The sequence below is a fragment of the Homo sapiens genome, chromosome 2 (assembly GCF_000001405.40).
Source record: "Homo sapiens chromosome 2, GRCh38.p14 Primary Assembly".
NCBI classification, from domain to species: domain Eukaryota; kingdom Metazoa; phylum Chordata; class Mammalia; order Primates; family Hominidae; genus Homo; species Homo sapiens.
This window is the reverse complement of record NC_000002.12, coordinates 8,303,197-8,326,176: the sequence shown is the minus strand read 5'-3', so window position 1 is coordinate 8,326,176 and position 22,980 is coordinate 8,303,197. Positions and strand designations below refer to the sequence as shown.

Below are 22,980 nucleotides of genomic sequence, written 5' to 3'. Positions count from 1 at the left end.
TCTGAGAGGCAAGTCCGCCAAGCCCAGGACCCTAGGGCACCTGGTTCTCACCATTGCCTGCAATGCCGCAGCCACTTCCCAAGTCAGGAGGGCAGCTGAAGTCCTGCACTGGGGACAGTTGGGTCAGCTGTGTCTGTTAGACATCCCCCGATGACACAGAATGCCTCTCTCCTCTGAGAGCAGGACAGTGTGTTTAGACAGTCCCTGGTAAATGTGAGCAGCCATGAGAAAGGCAGCCTTAAGTGGCTCAAATTAACCTCTTCTATGGATACAGAGTTGAGCTCCATCATTCACTCCCCACGAGAGAAAGATTGCTGTGGCCTTAAGCAGTGGAAGCAGAACTGTTATTATTATTTTTAAGTTGATGCAAAAAAGGACTTCTTTCTCCACTTTGAATATGTTGTCATCTTGGGTGAGGCAAGAGGACCATGTAAGGTGGTGACAAGCACTGTTGGCTTTTTTGGGAGAGCATTGGCTGACTCCATCCACTACTCTGGGGTGACAAGACGGGAAAAACCACGGTTTACCAGGCAGGTGTTGGGATTAAGATACACTTTCATTTTCAAAGCACTTTGCAGTCATTAACTAAGTGCTCACCCCTAATTCTCTTCTAGGTTGAGCTTGGCCATGGTCTCCCCATGCTGTCTCCCTTGCCTCTTCTCTGAGTCTCAAGGAACATGCTGTCACTGGCAGATATAAGAACATCTTGTGCTTTATATATATTTTTAAACCTTACTGGGTTGCTTGTCTAACTCACCCCTCCAGTAGCTTAGTGAGATTAATGCCTCTTTCTAAACTGTGATAACCAAGAGATACTTTCCAGCAAATGCGAATGGGGCTTTAAAGTGCTGCGAGGCAGGATGACAAGATCTTGGGTGAGTTTCAGGTATTACAAAGAACATTTTGATTTCCTTTTCAGAGGAAATGTAGAAGGGCTTTATCAGCGTAGGTAACACTATAGAGCTGAGTGAAATGTAAATGAAATTCCCAGTTTTCATTTTCCCGCTTCATTTGATATTTGTGGGTTTTAGAAGTAGGACCAGCTGGATTCATCTGCAGAAAAAGCCATGTGGCTGCGGAGCTCCTTCCGTTGTTAAGAAGTGTGCCTTTGGGCTAAGGGGAAATGTTCTGAAGGCAGATCTGGATGTGAATTTTGGTTCAGATATTTATTAACCGTGGGACCCTAGGCAAGCTGGTTTCTGAGCTTTGATTTCCTCATCTGTAAAAGGAGGATAATAATGGATACCTCAAAGAGTTATAAAGATCAGAAGTAAAATACATGCAAAGAAGTAGAGAGGGCTGTTTCAAGTCGCTTACTTTTATTTTAACATACAGCTGGTGGGCCAGGAGAGAGTGAAAACAAAGCCACTGGATAGTGAGAGGATAGAGGGTGCTCCACAGACGCGAACTGCATCTTTATGTTTACATAGAAGGGAGAGTGAAGGAGCAAATGTGGGCAACAGCTGTCAGTGACACATCATTACCCCAACAGCCAGAAACAAGATAAGCGCCTTGCAGGGGCCCTTAACTGACTGCTGGGTTCGATGGTTCAAAGAGAAAAAGCACGTGATAACTTTGAAGGAGGCTGCCTGGCTGAGCTGATCGGATCACCTAGAGACTGGAAATGCTTTCTGGGTAAGTATATACATCTCTACTACCCATCTCCCAACCCAGAACTGAGCATTGCAGATGAAAGATACTTGCCTGTTGGTTTTTTTTCTTAGCTGATTGTTTCACTCTCTGTAAAGTTTAACTAAAGTGAGGACATGGGACTGTGGTAGAGAGCTGCCAGTGTCATTCTTGCTCTTCCGAAGTGTGGTCCTGCAGCCACTGGGTTTGAGCTTTCGCATATGCAGGTGGGGGTTTGATTGGGTGATGCTTTGAGTGTCTTTCTGCTCTAGGAGTCGACTTGTCTATGATCCTTGGGCTGTCTCTCGCTTCACTGACACCCACTTACCTAAGTCCTGCCATTCAAATGTATCCATTTTAAACCTTGTTACTAAACAATCGCCAAAGTGAAGGAATTAGCATCAATTCACACACAAATTCGAAAAATATAAATAAATCTGAAAAAATTGGAAGGGAAGAATTCATTCATCTTTTCTCGAATAGCCTTAGAGATGAAGTAAGGGATTCCTAGTTTTCTTACGCTGGGTTCAGAACTTGGCTAATATCAAACACATACAATATTTGATGAAACAAATGAAGATTTCCATTTTCCTGCAGCTGAAGATAAGAATAGCTGTTTTAGAGTTGGCACAGACTTATCATAAGCGGGATCATGGATCTTTTAAAATTTGGGATAGATTTCAAACAATAAAAATCCTAAAAATTCAAAATAAAATTCCCTCAAATTTGCTCATGGCTTTCAACTCTTATAGTACTTTCACAAAGATGATCTTACTGCATTCTCTCTTTTATAATCTCTTCCACTTACCTCATGAGGTTAACAGACCGGGAGTTATACCCATTTTATAGAATGTCGGTACCTGTAGTTAAAAAACAAAACAAAACAAAAAACACATGTCAATTTTATTCCCTATTTTGTTTGTAGTGGTTAGCATAATAAACATGAACGAACATGACAATAACTTTAAAAAATGTATGTGAGTGACTGACTTATCGATGAATTAAAAAACTGAAGTACACACAAAAAGTTAAGTGATATACCCAATATCATTTTGTATAAGTGCCAAGATTTTAGTGAAAGAGACAAAAATGCTGTCTTCTGAAATCAAAGCTCGGAAGATTCCATGATCCTATTGCAACAGCTGTCAGTTTAACAGAACAGTTAAAGAGTTCTGCCATTGTATGAGTCTACTATTGCCCCGAGAATGCTGTGTAACAAAAAAGTTTGGATTCTCAGTGTCTTGTAATGAATATTTGTGTTTCTTAGCTAGCCGTGTGTCTGTGGTTTGGCTGAGGTTCTGCTAATCTTATTGGGCTCGGGCAGGCTTTGTTCCAAGCTCTGTTCAGGCTCAGGGTTGCTCCAGGGGGCTTATTCTGGGGCCCACACTAAAGGGGAAGGGGCTCTCTGGGCCATGTTCTTCTCATGCTGGATTACAGGAGTGCAAGAGGACAAACCAGCCATGACAGCACATTTAAAACCTTTGCTCCTATCAGGTTTGCTTATATTTCCTTGGCCAAAACAAGACACTGGCCAATCCCCTCAATAGTCAGTGGGGCAGCAAAGTGTGCTCTATTCCAATGAGAGAGGGAGGGACTGTTTGATAGATAATAATTCAATTTATCACCACTAGCCTGAAGGGAAGAAATTTAATTGACAAATTCTCAAGCTGTCTGTCAGCTTTGTGATTCTTTAGTTCTTGTATAACACGTTAAAGGGAGCTTAGTCCTTTGTCAGGGGAAACTGTCTAGTCATACCGTGATCAGAATTCAAGGCCAAGCAGGGACCATTGTTTGAGCTGTGGATTCTGCCGTTTGGTATTCACATGTCCCCTAATCATCTTGGAAAGTATAATGTTTTCTAACAGCTGTAAAGACAAGAGATTCTAACATTACAAACTATACATAATATCCACGAAATTACATTGAATAATGTAGTGATGTGTTACACTGTCATTAACACATTATGAATACCTAATTTGAGAGGTTAATGAAATTGACAAACATATGAACACTGTGGGTATCATCAATACCACTTAATGACAAACCTCTCGTTTTCGTTTATAGAATCATCTGAAATGAGAGGATTCCATCTTTCTAGCTGCATTTTCTTGGTCATAAATTAAGAAGGGTCTGCACAATATGTTTTGATTTAATGTGGAGTGCGAGGTTAGAAAGTATTTTACATTGCAGGTTTGTGTGGTAATAATATTTAGAATAAATAAATTTGTGATTATTTGACATGACCATTTGTAGTTTTTTCTGAAAAGGATTGAACTTGCTAAGGGTAAATATATTTTAGATGGACAGATTGAAGAAGAAAGTGTCAGGACCAAGGATTGAAGAAGAAAGTGTCAGGACCAAGGAAAACTGCCCAGGGGAAAATAATTCTCAACAGTATGTTGTATTCCTAGTGAAGGAACCCCCATCCAGTCTGGACTCAACAGTCTGTAGTTTTTCATCTTAAAACTGGGAAGAATGATATGAGGAGGATGTTTTCTTACTCTCCACATCACTGGTTAAGTTTTTTGTTTAATCAATTGTATTTTAAAGCAGTTCAACCTGTCTTAATAGATAAATGAATATCAGTAAAACTCAACCATATTAGAAGGGGCCCGTGTTATTTTCATCTCCAAGGAGGGGCCCATGTTATTTTCATCTCCAATGTAATATTCCTAAAAGAATGGATATAATCTATGTCAACATTTTCATATAAAGTAAAAAATGTGAATACATTTTTTCTTGAGTGTTAATGTTTTCTGTCCATAAATGATAATAATAATAATACAGAAATAATAACAGGGAGGCCTTTTATATTACAGAAAGCACATTATATACATGATCAGATTTGACCTTTTTAGAAATGCAGTGGAGTTACAGAGAAGACGTTGTGATTCCATTTTGCCAATGATGAAATGAGGTCTGGAGAGGCAAAGCGACTTGGTCAAGATATAATGGCCCTGAAGTGGCAAGGTCATGATGTGGTAATTCTGTGCTTTTCTCATTATGCTCCACAGCTTCTCCACCACCAGCCTTCCAGAAGTCATGGCTTTCCGTTAGCCATTTCTAGTGACATATCATCCTCATTAAAAATGATTATCTTTTCTGATTATTAAAATAACAAGTAGTCATTGTAGAAAATTTGAAAATATAGAATAGTGTAAGGAAGAAAATAATAACCGCTCTACTTCTGGAATTTAACTGTGCAGAAATAACACACTAACTTTTAACTCTTTTCTCTCTCTCTCTCTCTCTCTGTGTGTGTGTGTGTGTGTGTGCGCGCGCGCACGCGCGCGCGCGCACGTGTGCCCCATATACATACTTATTGTGTGTTCTGGGCACTTTGCACATATTCAATCAATGCTGTGAAGTCGATACTATTATTATTTCTATTTTATGGATGAAAAGAATTGAGGCTCAGAAAGTCTATGTAACTTGCCCAGGGTACTGTGAGTAGGTCTTTCTTCATGTAAAATATGATTAAGCCTCTCCATGGACTCCGAATGTAAGTGCACATGTGTTCTGTTTAAAACTTTTAAAGTAAACAAGGTGTAATTCCCTCTGGGTTTTATTATAAAAGAAGTTTCTCATCTTTGGCAGCTTCAGACCTCCAAAGATGACTTCACTTCCCCACTCGAGGATTAAAAGAAAGTCATATGCTTCTGTGTGAGGCTACCATAATTGGCCTCTGCTCCACTCCCAGGGGCAAGCGCTGTACCAGGATAAGTCTGTGATGAACTATGCAATGTTAATGAGGACAAATAGACCAATGCTGAGGGATTTCTGAAGGCACAGCCTTCATCAAATGGATAATGGAGAAGAGAGATCCCAAGTCAGTGCTGGAAATCACTTGGAAATTTTAGAATCTTGTCCCATTTTTCAAATCACCTTACTTGGTGGTCTTTTAGAGCTCTATCTTGCGAATTTTCATCTCCATGCAAAACTCATGGAGATCTTATTAAAATACAGGTTCTGACTCATCGGTTTGGGTGGAACCTACTGGGTTGTGAGTTTCTAACTAACTGGCCGATGGGGTTGACACTGCCAGTCTGTGGGCTATTTCTTTGAGAAGCAAGAGTCTGAATCACCCCCTCTTGGAACAGTAGAAATACCATTGCTTGGCTGCCACTGCAGCCATTTGGAAACTTTAAGTAAATTATTTATGCTTGCCACAGAACTCTTTCATTAAATGAAATCTCAAGTGGTACCTGGGTGTGAAGATGAGTCCTTTGGTTGGGGACTTGCCTTGCACCTGTGTTTGCATAGCAAGAATCTTGTTTCTAATTTGTGGATGTGTTCATTTGTGGTGATTGGGTAGGAGATTGTGTAAGTCCAGAGAAGGTAGGGCTAATGTCACCTTGAAGCCCTACTGTGACCCTCTGCTCTATCACTGCCTTCATGGAATCCCAAGACAGAAAGAAGAGCTGGTCCGTTTAAGGAATAATTGGGAGCCCCAAGACCTGCCACTGTGCCCACCTCTCATTTTCCCACCCACAGAAATGGTCCCTGATGTATCCCATGGAAGGAGAGGTGCTGGTGGGTCAACCTGATGCCTCCTGGGTTTTAGCTCAGCTTCGCCCCATGTTATCTGTGTGACCTTGGTCAAGTGATGGAATTATTCATGGGATTCCGGAGAAAGTTAAAAAGATAAGGTGTCTAAAACACTCAACAGACTGGCTGGTCCATATTAAGTACTCAATACGTGTGAACTATTGTCGTGGCTGTTAGGATCATTATTATTACTGCTGTTGTTAGTTTGGGGTCTCTGTGGGCCACTGTTTGAAAGCCTTCAGTGTAGGAGCAAGAATGCAAGATGCTTAATCAGAGGACCTGGGCTCAAGTACCAGTAGCTTGGGCAAGTAGCTCATGTGACGTTGCAGAGCCCTAGTTCTTGTTTCTATAAAATGGGGATAATAGCAGCTACACTGAGAATTGTTGAAGGATTAGATGAGATAATATAGGTGAAAAGCCCATCAAAAGAAATAATGTATCCTCCTAGTCAGTTGTTGGTTTCTAAACAGATGAATTCCTAAAGATTCACCATTTACTCTGAAATATTAAACTTTGTATTGGTGCCCAATTTATGCATCATGTTGATGAGCTCATTTTGAATGACACATAGATCTATTTCCCAGAATGATTGCAACATCTTTCAGGAACCTTTAAAGGTAGATTTTAGCAACTTAAGGAATGATTCAGTCTCCACTACGTAAGCCTGGAGACAGGTATATGCTTGGGGAGGTTCATGGAGGGGTTTGGCTTTTCATGTGATGAACGTGGCTATCTCCACCACTCTATGTCCCTCTGGCTGGCTACCTCATGGAGAATTTCTCAGTAACTAAAGCAGCTTTTCTTCTATTCTCTGGTCTTGAATTTTTTCTACTCACAGGCTTTGTCATTTTAATATTGTCTCCTTCTTTCTAATGTTTTCAAAAACTCTTCCAGCTCATTAAGGAAAGGAAGTTTCTACCACAGAAAACCTGGGGCAAAGAGGCAGGTGTGGACTGTCAGTCTTTGATTGGCAGTAGGAAATCAGAATGTCAGAAAATGCAGAATTTTAGAATCTAAGAATTCCGGGAAAATCAGGACACTCTTTTGTGAAAATCTTCATTGCCACCCCCAAAAATATTTCAGCATAGTGCATAGAATTAGGTGTTTTAAAGAGTAGGTTAAAAACAGTCTTTAATGTTTTTGGAGAGCGTTTTTAGTCTACAGAAGCAGCCAAACCCTTTTATTCAACACAGTCTCAAAGATAAACCAAATATGATAAATTAATCAGAGACTTGTGCTCTGGCTGAGGTTGGGGGGAAGGGGAATGCTTGAAAAGGATGCTTGATGCCCCAAGCCTGTCCCTGAGAGGAACCCCCAGAGCTCTGCGTGCTTCAGTTGAGTAGTGGAACTGAAGACTGCAGATTTCCAAGCAAACAGCAGTGAGTGATGATATGTGAGGCTGCTGTAGACTAGTAGCTTCTAGAATGCACCTCGAATTGATCCTATTCTTGTCCTAAATCAGCACCCACCCTGCAGGTCCAAGCAGGTCCAGCAGGCAGCCCTGAGTCTTTTTTTTTTTTTTTTTTTTTGAGACAGGGTCTTGCTCTGTTGCCTGGGCTGGATTGCAGTGGCAGATCATGGCTCACGATAACCTCTACCTCTTGGGCTCAAGTGATGCTCCCTCCTCAGTCTCCTGACTAGCTGGGACTACAGGTATGCACCGCCATGCCTGGCTAATTATTATATTTTTGGTAGAGAAAGGGTTTCACCATGTTGCCCAGGCTGGTCTCGAACTCCTGGGCTCAAGTGATCCACCGACTTCAGCCTCTCAAAGTGCTGGGATTACAGGCTTGAGCTACTGTGCCTGGCCTGCTCTGAGTCTTTGGAGACAGTCTTATCTGCATTCATTCCTTCTGGTCAAGGTCTCTCTTCCTGACTTGCATTTCTGTAGCTTCTTTTCATTCCTGACCGTGTCCCAACTGCATATCATCATGGATTGAACAGTCTCATCTCTGATCTAGGAAGATATTCCTTTTAATTTATTCCCATTTTTGGTATCAGTAAACTCCACTCTTCTTTGCCCTAGGTTCTGTTAGGTGACTGGGTGTGCACAATGAGAACTTTTAAGAACACCAGGTCAGGAGACTGATCCCAATTCTGAACCTTACAGAATCTGGAGGTAGAAGAGATAAGATGTCAGAACTGCTTTACAGCATTCCAGGAAAATGTTCTTCTAACTCCTGCGTGAAAGCTTCAGTGATGCGAAGCTCACTGCTCACGCGGCCATCTGCCCTTCTCATGATGGTCTCTTGTTGTTCGGGGCCACACATTTCTTCTTGTCCTTCAGGCCCTCAAAGTCCACTTCATAGCCAGTGTCCAGTGACGTCACCCCTCTCGGCCTCACTGTCTTCATTGATCACGTGGTGAAAGGAGCACTGGGTTAATTAGCATGTGTGAAACACCCTGAACGCCATCAGACCCCCAGCTCATTCTCGTTAGTGTCAATCAGGTTGCTGCTGTGGTTGTTGCTATTAGGATAATTGTCATGGCCTCTCTTTCACCTTCTGCCTGGCTTCTTTGGCACCACTTGGCTTCATTATACCACTTGCTGGTTCTCAGACACACCATGCACCCCACACAGCACCCCGGTCCTACAGTGGCTCCTCTACAGGATGCCCAGGGCACCCTCCTTTCCAGCATTCCTGCCCTCACCATGTTCCCTCTCTCCTGAAAACCTTGACTCACCCTCTGGAGCTCAGCTACAACCCAAGTTCCCCAGGACACCCCTAACCTCATATGGGAGCCTGATGCCTGGGGCTTAGGGCCAGCCTCTGCTACTAGCAACCCTCTGATATTGAAAAATGTACTCACCTTCCTTGTTCTTATTCTTAAAACAGAGATAATGCATTTATTGCAGGTTGTTGTAAATATTAAATGAAATGAGATATTTAAGTTGTGTGTTGGATAACACATCAGCCAATCCCTCTTTCAAACACATTTTTCTACCTGATCCTCACAGCCGCGTGGGAGGCAGGGATCTTTTCTTTGCAGGTGGAAACACTCAGCTTTGGGAGTGGCAGGTCCAAGACTACCCAGTTCCTGAGGGCTTCATTCAAACTTGAACCTAGGACTTCGGAATTTACAACTTTTGTGTTATCCACTGAAAATTTGCAAAATTATTGCTGATGGATCTAGTAGGGTCTCAAAAAAAAATCCTCAAATTAAATCAATTAGATCAAACAGAACTCTGTGATATTCTGATTTTTAATTCTTATTTATTTATTTGCATTTATGTTGGGTTTCGATTGCAAGATTCTCTGGAGAAAGCAACTATAATTTTATTATGAAGTGATATGGTTTGGCTCTGTGTCCCCACCCAAATCTCATCCGGAATTGTAATCCCACATGTCAAGGGAGGGGCCTGGTGGGAGGTGATTGAATCATGTGGGCAGTTTCCTCTGTGCTGTTCTTGTAGTGAGGGAGTTCTCACAAGATCTGATGGTTTTAAAGTGGCAGTTTCCCCTGCTCACTCCCTCTCTTGCCTGCTGCCATGTAAGACTTGCCTTGCTCCCCCTTCTGCCATGATGGTTAAGTTTCCTGAGGTCTCCCCAGCCAAGTGGAACTGTGAATTAATGAAACCTCTTTTGTTTATAAATTACCCACTCTCAGACATTTCTTTATAGCAGTGTGAAAATGGACTAATGCATGAAGGAATAGATGTATATAGAACAGAAGTTGCTTTCTTGTTGCTGGGCACCAAAATGGATTTTCTAGGATGTTTGGCTTTTGGGGGGCCTGAGAGCCCCCCAAAACAGGCATTTAAAAGCTTAAAAGCAAAGTAGCCTCTTCTGACATAGCTATGATGGTTTCTGTCACCCAGGGTCTGTGCATGGGAATAACAATACATAGCTCACATTGAAAAAGTGCTTGAGGGTTCACAGAATGTTTTTTTCAGCCCTACACTTTAGTTGATGCAAGCCAGCCAGCAGCCCTGTGAAGCTGTGTGAGTGTGAGACTTACTACCTCCAGCCCAGCCTTCCCATGCTGGCTGTCCTGCTAAGCCCAGTGGGTGTGGCCTGTGCCTGGGTCTGCTGCTGTTACTCACCCCTCACTTCTGAAGCCACATCAAGCGTACTTCTGTCTTGAAGACTGCGGATCCGCCTTGAACAGGAGCCAGCTCTCATCGTGTCATTCCTGACAGATTTCTTAATTAATCTGCTCAGATTGTCAATAATGTAATTCACTGTTGATTTAGAAACTAGTTATATGAGGACTGCTAGGGCCATTGTGGGAAAACATCTGAATAATTCAGCTAATAGATGGGAAACTCACCCAGATCGCCAGGGCACAGGGAGAGAGCAGCTAATTCGAACGGGATGAGCTCAAGTAGGGTGATTCCAGCAAATTCCAGGGAGCAGGGAGAGGTTGTCATATTGCTAGGGGCAGCAGCTGCCTGGTTTAATTATTGTCATTTTGGTTTTTGGAAAAAAGCACATGGGCCCACACTTGCAGGCAGAGGCCATTAACACACTCTTGAAAAAGAGTGGAATTTTCAGTGTAAAGTACATGATGTGGCTGATTCTACCTCCGAGCTGTGCTCACATGTTAGTGGGGCTTATTCTAGGCAGATCATATTTATAATTTCAAATAATATGACTATAATTTGAAATTTGTGAGTTTAGTAATAAGTAACATCAGAGAAATATCAAAATGACCTTTCCCCCACTGGGAGATTCATAGTTGTTTGGGTTTTTCCCAGGATTGTGTAGATGTCTTGAGATTATGGTAATCATATCATCCTTTTTATACTTGGGGCCATGGTAGAAAATGCAGTTTATAGATGGGTGAGTCTAATGATGCGAAGAGTCTTACATAAACATAAAAACTCAATTCTATTTAGTTATATACTTAACATTTTGTTTTTATTGGAAATAATAAAATTATATGGAGTTGAGCTATTATACTAAATTTTTTGCTATGGAGGCTAGAGTTTTCACAACCCTTAAGTGCAGATAAGTTAGTGCTTAGATGTAAATGTTAAGAATCATGGTACTTTGGGAGGAAATGTTAATTTGGTTGCATTTATCTGCAGCGTCCCATGCTTTTCTTCTGTTTCTCTATCTTTCCTTCTCCATCTTCCAACATCCTCACATGCACAAGAGCACAGGTATGCACACACACACACGCACACGCATTGCCCTGTTGGCCACCTCTCTCCCAAATTTCTATCCTGAAGACCTTCAAAAAGAAAAAGACTAGCCATATCCAATTCCAATATTTTGACCCTGGTACAATTCTAGCACAGGAGAGTCGTCCTGCTTGAGGCGTCTTGCCTTATCTCTTAACCACATAATGGCTGATTTTATGTCTGAACTAGATTGGAAACTTTAGGGGACAGAATTGGCTTTTGGAAGCTTAGCAAACAGAGCTTCAGCAAATAATTTGTGAGTGAATCAGTGAAAGAATCACAAATGCACTGTCTGTGAATGAGCTCCGGGTTTCAGATGAATGTGCCCGCTATGGACCCTAGCGTGACATGGGCATGGCAGCACTGAGGATCAGGTGCGGGTGCACATCACAGAACACCTCACGAACACAGGCTCTGATGACACAAAGGCTAGTTCACTCTCTCTGTGAAGCTGTGGATGGCTGGGTGACCGTGGCATGGTCACCCCTACTCAGGCCCCTCCTGTCTTATTCTTCAACTATCTTAGCTCATGGCTTGCTTATATCTCAAGGTTATCTCATGGTCAAGATATTTGTGGGTGTTCTAGATATCACATCCATATTTCAGAGAGCAGAAAAGAGGAAGAGGGAAAAGAGTGCCACTCCCTTCCCTTCTGCTTTCATGAGGCAGCCCCCGCCTTGCCATTTCACCCCCACATATACATTTCATCTTGCACAGCCTTTGCCAGAGCTCAGATGGCCACACCCAGCCAGAGAGAGGGTGGTAAATGTAGTCTTTCCAGTGGAACATCCGTAACATTGAATAACATATGCCATGTTCTAGGGAGGCAGAGGGACTGGCTATTTGAAGATATTTTGCAGGATATGTCATAATACGTAACCTATTCCTAGCAATAGTACATGCTTTAAAACAAGCAATTATGATAGCTTTAATGAAACCACAGATAAATAATTCCCATATTTTATAGAGTGCTCAGGTATTTTGAATTGAGAAAATGATTTGAAAAAAAGTATTGTGTACTGATGCCCTAGACTAGAGAGCCTCTATCTGTCACTGTCCCTGTATAAATTCTCAGCTGTACTCAGGAAGACTAAGTGGTGATAAATGCCTCAGTTGTGGGCTGGTACTGTGGCAGGTCCCTGAGTTTTCTAGCATTGGCTATTGGATTAATGGTTTGTCTTTTATTGAGCAATAGTTTGTTGTGATTTAAGGGTGCCATGCTTACATTCTCTTATCATGTATTCCCTGGGAATCTAATTTGTAAATAATTACTTGACAGAAACTGAACTGGCTGGAAAATTCTGAGTATGCAGAGGCAGAGGCAGGCCCCTGGGAGGGGACTTCAGCTGAAAGGCTGAGCACCTGAATGGTCTGACCACAATTTCTCATCTCAGCAGTTAGCAGCTAATAAGGTCCCCTGTTAAAAAAAAAACAAAAAAACCAAATTCTCAGGCTCCAGAAGCAATGGACACGCTTAGCTGGTCATTAGCAGCCGTGGCTAGAGCAGCTGGCTTAGGTGGAGTGCTGATGAAATGATTTTCCCTTTCACCTCTTCACACCAGAGAATGTGGGGAGGACAGTGTTGTTCTCTCTGTATACAGAGCCAGGGGGTCTAGGGCAGGAGGGTTGCTATGGACTGAATGTCTGTGTCTCTGCAATTCCTATGCTAAAGCCCTAACCGCCTGTGTGGCTGTATTTGGAGATGGGGCCTCTAAGGAAGTAATTAAGGTTAAATGAGTCATAAGGGTGGGGCCTTGACTTAATCGGATTTGTGTCTTTACAAGAAGAGATAGCAGAGAGCTCCCTGCCTCTCAGTTTAGGTGCACATTTCTGGCCATGTGGAGACATAGCCAGCGGGTGGCCGTCACCAGAAACCAAACCTGCTGGACTTTGACTTTGGACTTCCAACCTCCAAAACTGTGAGGAATAGGTTTCTGGCCTCCTCACCTGCTCTCCCTCAGCAGGCGGGCCCACGTCTTCTGCCTTCCATGGGCCACTCATTCTCTGAATTTTCCATTTCAGCAGTGCCTGATCCTCTACTGGGTGTTCAACACTGGCTGCATTTATGGAGACCACAGACAAAAGATGGAAACAGCCTCCACCGGCATGGGGATCAGGCATGGGGCAAACACAGGAGACAAAACAGGTATTAGTTAACTCGTATTTAACACTGACAATACACCCATGTTCAAGGCACTCAATCCACATGAAATCATTCAAGGCTCAAAATAACCCTCCGAGGGAGGAGGGAGAGGCTGCTGCTGTCCTCATTCTACAGGGAAAGAAAGAGGCTTAGGGGTGTGACGTGGCTTTTCAGAGGACACAAAGCCAGTGAATGGCAGAGCCAGGGGTCACACCTGGACTGTCTGCATCAGGGCCCGCGCTGAGCCAGGTGCCATAAAACCATCTCACCAACATGTAGCTGACAGGTGCTTCTGTGGCTAGAGCCCAGGACCCCACCAGCACACAGAGGAGGCACCACCTCTGATCTCAGGGGCCAACCAGTATCTCCCAGGGGAAGTCAAATCTAAGTGAAGATCTGAAAGGACAGGCAGGAGCTTGCCTCTCATAAAGAATGAGAGAAGGGACTTCCAGACATCTGGGGCAGGGGAGTCCTGGGGTCCTGTGAATGTAGAGAGCAGGAGGTGGGGCTGGGAGGACTCAGGGCATGGGCAGGGGTCCACACCACGGGGAGAATGAAAAAACACAGAGAACCATCACAGGGTTCAATCAGGGGAATGGTGGGGTCACATTTGCCTTTTAGAAAGATTCCCACAGCTACCCTGTGGAGAATGGGTTGGAAGCAGGGTACAATGGGAGGAGTAGCCACTGCTTTTGAGGCAGGGAGACCGAGCAGAAGGATAGAGTCGCATTCCTGCAGATGCGATGGTAGCTCAAACCACAGCTGTAGAGGTGAGTGAAGAAATAGCCCGGAGTGTGCGAGCTGGCTTGTGTCAGTTTGTGAGAGCTGATTATTACACTTTGAGGAACCTGGGAAGCTGGTTATTAAACACAGCCATTATTAAACATTAAATTTTAAAAATTTACAACAAAACGGTAGCAAAAACAAAGGTGATAAATACTCAGATTCATCACTTCCTAATGATTTTGCTATGATCTATTTTCCTGAAGGTATTCTATGCCCCTCCTGTCTGTAGGGTGACATACTATATCACGGTGGCCACTGCCTGTCTCTTCCCAACTCTGCGTTCAGTGAAGTCACGTTGGTCTCCATTGGTAACTTAAAATTTGCTATTCTTAGGTGGGAGTGTTTACAACAAGGAAATTGGCAAACATTGAAAATCAAGTTTTATTTTTTTCAACTGAGCACACCTCTGGATAAGCCACTGCATTCTAGAGATAGAGCACATGGAGGAACCCCATTTATCCTTCCAGGATCCATCCCAGAAGCCTCCTCTAGCCTCAGCCAATAGCCTCTCTGCCCTCCGGAGCCTCCTAACCTGTCCTGCACTTCCCTCTCAACACTGTGGCTGGTGTCAGCCTTTCCTTTCCTTCTGCAGAGTTCTTGATGGCAGGAACTGTGCCTCATTCATCTCTAGAATAGAGGTAGCGTGGATTTGGGGCTCCTTATGCCTCTTTGAAATGAGTGGGCAAGTGACCGAGGGAGTGAGATGGCTTTGCTTTTCGACCTTTGTCTCTGTTCTGCCTTTTTGGGAGCCCTCTCTCACTTACTGGCTAGGACACTTAGATCATGATAAACCCTGAGCTGCTTTCGGCCTCTGAAGCAGCCTGGTGGCTGATGTGATGTTTTACATAAATGTCTGTACAGTTTGATGCCAAAATGTCTACTGAGAAACTACTTCAAAGGGGCTACTTTTGAAAGAAACTACTTTGAAAACGACCTGATAGTTAGCTGGGCCAAGGAAAATGTACCCACTAGCAAGGACCAATACTTCAAACGCATTCTGAAGGACAATTTAAAAGGAGCATCACGTGCCTGGATCACCTTGGGGGAAGTTGTCTTTGAAACTGATCTAAATCAAGGGCAATAGGGCACAAGGACATCAGATTTGTTTGAAGAAAACAGCATCCTGTTAGTCTTGGAAAATAATTGCACAAAGCCACCAGAGTGCCACTTCCTCCCCTCCTCCCACACACCCTCCCGCCACACCAGCCTCTGTGCATCAGGGACCTTTCCAGGCCCGTTTCTGCCTTGGGTGTCACTTTGGTTAACCATTTGAGGGCAAATACTCGGAACGTTGATAAGAGGGTTAGTTAGAAAGACACCCCACTTCTCCTGTTTACTTGTGGGTCACCCTCCTTCTCTGGGGCCCACTCCCCCAGGCTTGTCTTGGTAATTTTTTAGACCCCAGAGGTCAAGAGATCTGAGCTCAAGGATAGGTCACCCCCTCCCATGAGAGCCACGCTTTTGCCGCCATCTGTAAAGTTAAGCTGCTCAGTCCACTTGCCTGTGTCTCGGAGCTGCCGAGAAGTTGGAGGAGTAAATTATGGGAAGCCACCAGGGTGCTGAGCTGGGGTGCTAGTCATTCTCCACGCCGCTTCTAGTTTAAGTCCCCTTGTATTTTAAAGGAGGAACCCTAGTCCCAGCCACAGTGGGCAGCTTGACCAGGCCACACACAGCCACTTTACTGCAGGACTCAGGAGTGGGATCCCGTGCCCTTCTGCTCTAAACTACATCTGCCTTTCTCAGCAACTCTTAGTTGTTAGCCCTGTGTCAGATAAGTAATCTAACAACCAGAAATGATTGCCACCCATTTCGCTATAAATTTCTATCCAGGGAATGCAGACATACCCAGCCACCCCCACCCCATTGCCACCACACGCTCTCTGCCACTTGGTTTCAGATGGAGTAAAAGTCCCCCTCTTTTAACATAGCCATGTTAACCAGGTGACTGTTCTCTCCCTGTCAGCATTTAATATACAGCACTATAAAATCAGAATGCATATGCCCCCCTTTCTATAACTATATGTTAATATATAAATAATATTAACAATTGTGATAGCAACAACATATATAGCACTGACTATGTGCCAGGGCTTATTCAAAGTGACTTGCATATATTACCTCTTGTAATCCTGACAATTCTGTTAGGTAGATACTATGATTATCCCATTTTCATGTGAGGAAACTGAGATACAGAGAGGTTAAGTAATCTGCCCAAGGTCTCATAGCTAGTAATTGACAGAGCCAGAATTGAACACAAGCAGTCCAGTTTCAAAATCTATGTATATGTGGACACATATGCTTTACAGTGTGAAATACTCAAGACCCCTTGTGTTCTGGGTGTTAGGGTGAAAGAAAGGATTGTCAGGGCTCTGATGTGCTAACTTCAGACTCTATCCCACTGTACTGTCATAGGCCTGACCTCAGACGTGGTAAGTTGTCCCAGGAGGCTGGAACAAGACAGAGCAGATCAGGCACAGACATCCTGCCCTGGCCCTGGCCGGGGCTTCAGTCCCCTGCCGGGCCTCCCCACCTCCTAGGTTCCTGCTGCAGCTTCTTCCTTCACACTCTGGCCGTCTCTGCAGCTGTGTCAATGTCCTGTTCCCTCTGCACACTGAGCATGCCGGATCTTGTTGGCTGTCCTAGAGGGTCTGGCCTGACACAGATCACAGCTTTCCTTTTTAGAACACTGCTGCCTTCTCCCGGGTCACCAGTCTTGTCAGCTTCTCAGCTCTTTCCCAGGGGAAGCTGATCATTTACAGGACAGGACCTTCCAAAGCATGACCCGGTGGACCAGAAGTGACCCTCATCAGCACTTGCTGCCTTGTTTCCATGCTGGGTCATTTAGCTGGGGGACCAAAGACATAGACACAGAACTCAGAATTGCAATGCACTCCAGTAAGTTCTAGAAGGGTGCCTGCCTCTTGAGAGGAGGCAAAGCTTGAGAACATCCCTGTCTTCCCGCCACCCTGTGAGTCCCACTGTCCCCTCAGTCTAGCAACAGAGTTGGCCCTCAGTAAGAGTTTATTGGATAAATGTATTCCTGGGTCATCCCCACCTTCCCAGTTTTGCTCATTCATTTGTTCACTCATTCAGTTAGTCTTTTGTTGAACTCGTGTTGTGTGCCAACTGTGTGCTAAGTACAGAAAATACAGACACCAACTTTTAGCCTCAAAGAAACTTCATTCCAATAGGGGAGATGCGAATGTACACAGATCATCATCTTGCAATGAGGTGAACGCAGCAATGCAGACAAGACAGGCATTCAGGAGAGCCAGGCCTGGTGGCAGGGAAGGGCATGGTATGTGGGGGGTAGAGGAGGGGTCAGGGAAGACCCCGCCCAGGAGGAGAGAGAACTGAGAAGTCGCCCTGAGGCAGAAGAGCCAGACAGCAGGGCCCTGAGGTCGGCAGGAGATGCACCCTGAGTCTGCAGGCCGCCTTTCCATGACCGTGCTGCCTGATTTCCCACCAAAGCTTCTTGCTTTGGCTTCTGGGAGATCCTTTGGGATCACTCGGTCGAGAGGGAGGAACAGACCTCCGGAGGTTGACCACCTGTGTCCCTTCCTTTCTCTCCCTTCTTTCTACCGTTCTTTTCACTTGTTGGCAACATTCAAGTGGTCTCAGGAAAGTGGAGCTGCTTCTCCACCCAGAGCCCCCCCCAGAGCCTACGTTCCAATGACTGTAATGGATTCTAAAGGCTTCCCCAAATAAAGGCCATTTCACTACCTGTGAGCTTTGATAAGCGCAGGTTCTTCTAAGGCAACGTGGGCCTTTAGTGCAAGTTTCAAATGCAATCCTCAGACAAGACCATTTAAAAAGGCCTTTAAAATGCAGATAGCCTCCAGAATAGGTTTCAGGCTCCATGTAAATCAGAAGGCACTTGGAAACAGGGAAGCCAGCCTCCATACATCCACCCACGCACCGACAAGGCCCAGAGCCAGCACGTAAGCCTGAAGGGTTGCCTGTGTCTTTAAACTCCAATTACTTGGATGGGCAGGAGCTCAGGTGAGTCACTTCTGAAGCTGAGTCCTTGGGTAACAATCCCACATAGAAGATAAAACCAAATTGGACTTGGATTTCACACTTGATCCAGACTCTTGATTTTATTAAGGAAGCTGAGGCTGGTGGAAGTTAAAAGAAGTTTCGAAGTTAAAGCAACTAGTGAGCGGCAAAATGAGGACTCAGTGCCTTGCCTCACAACCAGGGTTTTCGCCACTACCTTACTTTCAGTTCTCGGCTCACTACAACCTCTGCCTCCTGGGTTCAAGCAATTCTCCTGCCTCAGCCTCCTGAGTAGCTGAGATTACAGGTGCCTGCCACCACACCCAGCTAATTTTTGTACTTTCAGTAGAGACAGGGTTTCGCCATGTTGGCCAGGCTGGTCTCGAACTCCTGACCCCAGGTGATTCGCCTCCCAAAGTGCTGGAATTACAGGTGTGAGCCACCGCGCCTGACCCAGAGCGAACTTTTAATGTAATTTACCAACACTTACGATCACCTCTGTGCCAATCATCGCACTAGGTGTTGTGGGGCTACACTTATATGCCAATCATCGCACTAGGTGTTGCGGGGCTACACCAACAAGGAGTGTAGGGCCTTGGCCTGTAAACATATTACTACAGTCTAGTAGGGGATGAAGGTTCCCATGTATTAAATTGACACACAGCGCTGAGTGGCATCATCACTAAACAGAGAGGTACAGGTAGCTGCACACTCCAAAATGTTCCTTTGAAAAAGAGAATTGAAGCCAGGGCAAACATATCATGCTGAGTGATGGGTACAGAGGGAGTAGGGAGTTCCTGGTAAACATTGTCTCTGGAAATATACCAGAATGAATCACTCTTTTAATATCATTATTCCAGCGATACCTTTGACAATTATTATTTAATTTTGTTTCTAAATCAAACAAAAGTTTTGAGTTGCTTTCTCTTCTCCTTTCTCATTTTCTTAGAATGAGCAGTGCTGTGTAAGATAGTGAGTGTGCACACATATACACACACACGCATTTGGAGTTTTTCTTTCCAACAGAGAGAATTCTGCGCTATAAACTCTCCTTCAGTTAGATTATATACAAGTGTTGACTTTCAATTCATACCTCTGATATGAGTCATTGAGTGCTCTGATTCTTAGTTTATTTGTGCTGCTTTCAGTAAAATGGATTGAATGTGGGGTTATCCAACCATGGTGTGGTGCCTTGCTGCCTCTGACACGGGGCTGATGAGATCTGAGTGCTTGGCACTATCTTACAGGAATGTCAAAATCAGATTTGGTCGGTAGCCAGCTTTCTACCTTCTCTGGAACATGGAGAGAACATCTGGGAAAAAGCTCAACTTATTACCCACAGCCCCAGACATTCCCATACCACCTCATCTCTCAGAACCTGACTCCACCCTGCTAACTGGCCTTGTGTACCGCTTCCATAGCTGACCATGGTCACGAACCTGCTTTAACATCTTATCTTTGTCTTAGAGGCGTTATACAGAATCATGGCTCAATTTTTCAAAGCTCACAACAAAACCACAATATCTATTTCTAAATTAAAAATTCAGATTTCCAGACTTCCCTAGCTACTGTATCTTCTCCCTCTCTTTTGGAGAAATTGTCTTTCAACATCTCCTCCAGAGTTGAGAGTTTTAAACCCATCCTCCGGGACAGGCTTCAGGGGTTCTCTGAATCCTCTTTCACATTCTGTGTAAACTTCTCTGTGTTTATGAGCCTTTGTCTATATTTCTGGAGGGAAGGCCCACCTGTTTATCAGATACTCATAGTGACCCTAAGGCCTCTCATGGGTTAAAAAATCTGTTACAGAGATTTCCCATGATTTTGAAGGCAGAAAGGATCTGAGATAGTGCTTAATTGAAACTCTCATTTCACATACAGGGAAACTGAGGCCCATAGAGATATAATTCTTTTTCTCAGACCAGTGCAACAAGGTAGTGACATCATAGCATGGGAGTCCAGAAGCAAAAATTTGATATTTTTTAAACTTGTAAATACCTTCCATTGTTCCTCATCTCACCTAAGATTGGATTCTGGGAAGCCTGGTAATTTGTGCACAGGGAGTAAGGAGGTTAGATGACTGTCTTTTGGAAGAACTGTTTTTCTCCTTTGCTTTTTTGGTAATTTACTCTGAAAGCTGGTAGGTATTTTATTTCCAGACTTGTTCAGAAAATCCTGTTCACGCTGTTAAAGTCTTTGCCCATGCAAATACCCAGTGCTGTTCTTGGCCAGCAGGAACCGTCACACTGGGACGTTGCTCCATTGTGCGTGTGTGCACGTTTCCAGGCATGTGCGCAAGTGTGCACTTGGTAATGCAATTGCAAAGCAAACTGCAAATGCCCATAATAGGAATCAAGAGAAAAGTCTCAAGTTAGACTTTTGTTTAACACTTGGCTTCCTAGAAGTTTGTAAAGAAGGTGTCTGTTTAGGGAAAGCCTTATTAAGCCTGGATGGTTGCCCTTAGCAAATGAAAGTGTTGACTAAACCTTGCTCTCTGTTGTGAAATGTAAGTCTAGTGAAATTCAAACACATTGTAAATTTACTAATCAGCTGTAATCAAAGTAGAGGGATATAAATACTCCCAGAGGGTGGCTCCCTGTGAGGACAACTGATGAGGTGACTTGGGAGGCCGTGGGTGGCTCTTAGGAGAGTTAAGGATGTCCATGGCCATCCCTGCTCCAGCATGAGCCTGTGTTTGTATGAAAGCACAGACTCCAAAACATCCTAGAAGATAGCTGAGAGAACACCTAGAATGAAACTTGTATTTTACCAGAAAACTAAGCCAAGGTCCCTAGAGAAATGGCTTTGCTTAGGCTTCACACTGTGGCTCAATGGCAGGTCAGAGACGAGGGCCCCACACCTCGGTGTCTAGCCAGGGATCTGGCCCTAGCACCGTGTTGCTGAGTCATGTCGGGCTGCCTAGGGGATGTCGCAGAAGGAGCTCCTGGAGGACACATGCGTTCATCATCTGCTCAAAACTGCACAGCAGGTGAATGGTGACATTGACACATCAGAAAAATAACAGACTGCTTGGAGGGCGACGTGCTAAGCACTTAACGGGAATTATCTTAGTAAGTCTTTACGCCACTGTGATGAAGTAGGTAGCGTTCTCATAATTGCCATTTTACAGATGAGGACACTGAGGTTCTGGGAGGTTAAGAAACTTGCCCAAATGATGTAGTAGGTGGCCAAGCTGGAATTCCAAAGCAAGGATTTGTAAAGATTATGCTAATCAAAACTCCCACTGCCCTTGTCTGTTTTTGTTCTTCCCCTAAAGCATACCTACGTTTTCTTGTCTCAGGGAGCATGATGTGTGAAGGACTTTGGTTCTCATTGGCCAGAGACACCGAGTCCATCTCAGTCTGAAGTCCTGGGATCTGAGATTCCCTGAGTGTGTGGATTCCCTGCTAGGCAGGATGCAGTTTGACTGACGAGTTCCTTTTCTTTTATTTTCTTCTATTTAGCGACTTGCTTTTCCTGATATCCTCTTTTAGGAGGCTGTTAGGCCCCTGGGCCAGAGGCCTTTTATAGCACCCAAAAAATTGCCTTGTAGCAATCTGACAATTTTTTATAATAATTTGGGTCTTATTTCTAAATACAGTAACAATTTGGGGTCTTTTGTGTTATTTTTGTGTTTTGGCTCACCATCATTCAGTTTGGATTTTGTTGTGTGAAGTTCCCCAACTCCTGGCCTATTTCCATCCACCCTTTTATTCATGGGATAAATAGTAACTGTGTACCTACCCCCAGAACCTCCTATGACAAGGCACCCTAGGGCTCAGAGTAAGTTGTCTTCCCCCCCCCCTTTTTTTGACTATTGATAACACAAATAAAGCTGCAATAACTATCTTGGTTGAGACACAGCTTTCTAAATGCTTGTCGATAGCTTGCTGGTGTACGACCTTAGTTTTTACCGCGTCCCTGCCTTGACCACCCATCCTGCCCTCAAGAGGACACAGGGCTCCTCTCTGGGAAGATCCAGGGTTGGCAGAAAGGAAAGATTTCCTTCTTGACTTGTGATATGGCCTCTGTGCCAGGCCCTGTGCTAGGCCCTGGGAATGGAGTGGGGAGCGAGGCTCAGCCCTGTCCTCTGGACAGCCTGGACTGGCTCTCTGCATCTTACATTTGATTTTTAACAACAGTAGGAGAGGATGAACGCTGGAGAGGAACAGAAACCAGAGATCTGGGCTTGCAGCCCTCCCTGTTAACCTCGACACGGCCCCCTGTGTCCTCTTGGTTTCCTGTCCCTCACCACAAGAAGCAGTGTTCAAATCGGTTTCTAGATGGCTCCGATGTGGCCACGTTTGGGTGGGTCTGGTGCATGTTGGCTCAGCTGGGAACATGCCAGTGTTTGGGGGTTGTTGTTGTGCAAGCCTGAGGGCCGGCTCACTGCACGAGGTCAGGGTGTCCTGGTGGGCCTTGTTCTGCTTTGTGATGACAGCAGCCCTCCAAGACGGTCAAGCTTGACCATATAAATTACCGTATAAATAACCATGATGGGTATGAATGACTCACTTAATGATTTCATTTCTGTATTTCACACCTTTTGGTGCTACCATGCTATGCATTGAGGGTCCAGGATGTGTAAGGCACTAGCACAGCACCTGAGATATTTTTGAGTGGTGGGGCAGAGAATGTGGTACAAAAAGATGAATGAGGCTGGATGCAGTGGCTCACGCCTGTAATCACAGTGCTTTGGGAGGCTGAGTGGGGAGTATTGCTTGAGGCCAGGAGTTTGAGACAGCACTGA

At 44.4% G+C, this 22,980-nt stretch overlaps 1 long non-coding RNA gene across 2 annotated transcripts in view, besides 2 other annotated features; it reads left to right on the top strand.

Annotated features, from left to right (window-relative positions):
- LINC00299 (long intergenic non-protein coding RNA 299) overlaps positions 1-22,980 on the top strand; it is a 320,649-nt gene that overhangs the window by 2,243 nt on the left and 295,426 nt on the right. Inside the window, exons 2-3 of one of the 2 annotated variants that reach the window (NR_152741.1) lie at positions 1,493-1,635; positions 13,328-13,451. This is a non-coding gene — a long non-coding RNA (long intergenic non-protein coding RNA 299). The remainder of the gene's footprint in view (positions 1-1,492; positions 1,636-13,327; positions 13,452-22,980) is intronic. The other variant, NR_034135.1, reaches the window with a different exon arrangement.
- Positions 16,601-16,740: an enhancer, noted in NCBI's record as "active region_15255". NCBI's record gives its function as "activates an Ori minimal core promoter by ATAC-STARR-seq in GM12878 lymphoblastoid cells {active_cell/tissue: GM12878}" and the evidence as "EXISTENCE:reporter gene assay evidence [ECO:0000049][PMID:35858748]".
- Positions 22,080-22,299: an enhancer, noted in NCBI's record as "active region_15254". NCBI's record gives its function as "activates an Ori minimal core promoter by ATAC-STARR-seq in GM12878 lymphoblastoid cells {active_cell/tissue: GM12878}" and the evidence as "EXISTENCE:reporter gene assay evidence [ECO:0000049][PMID:35858748]".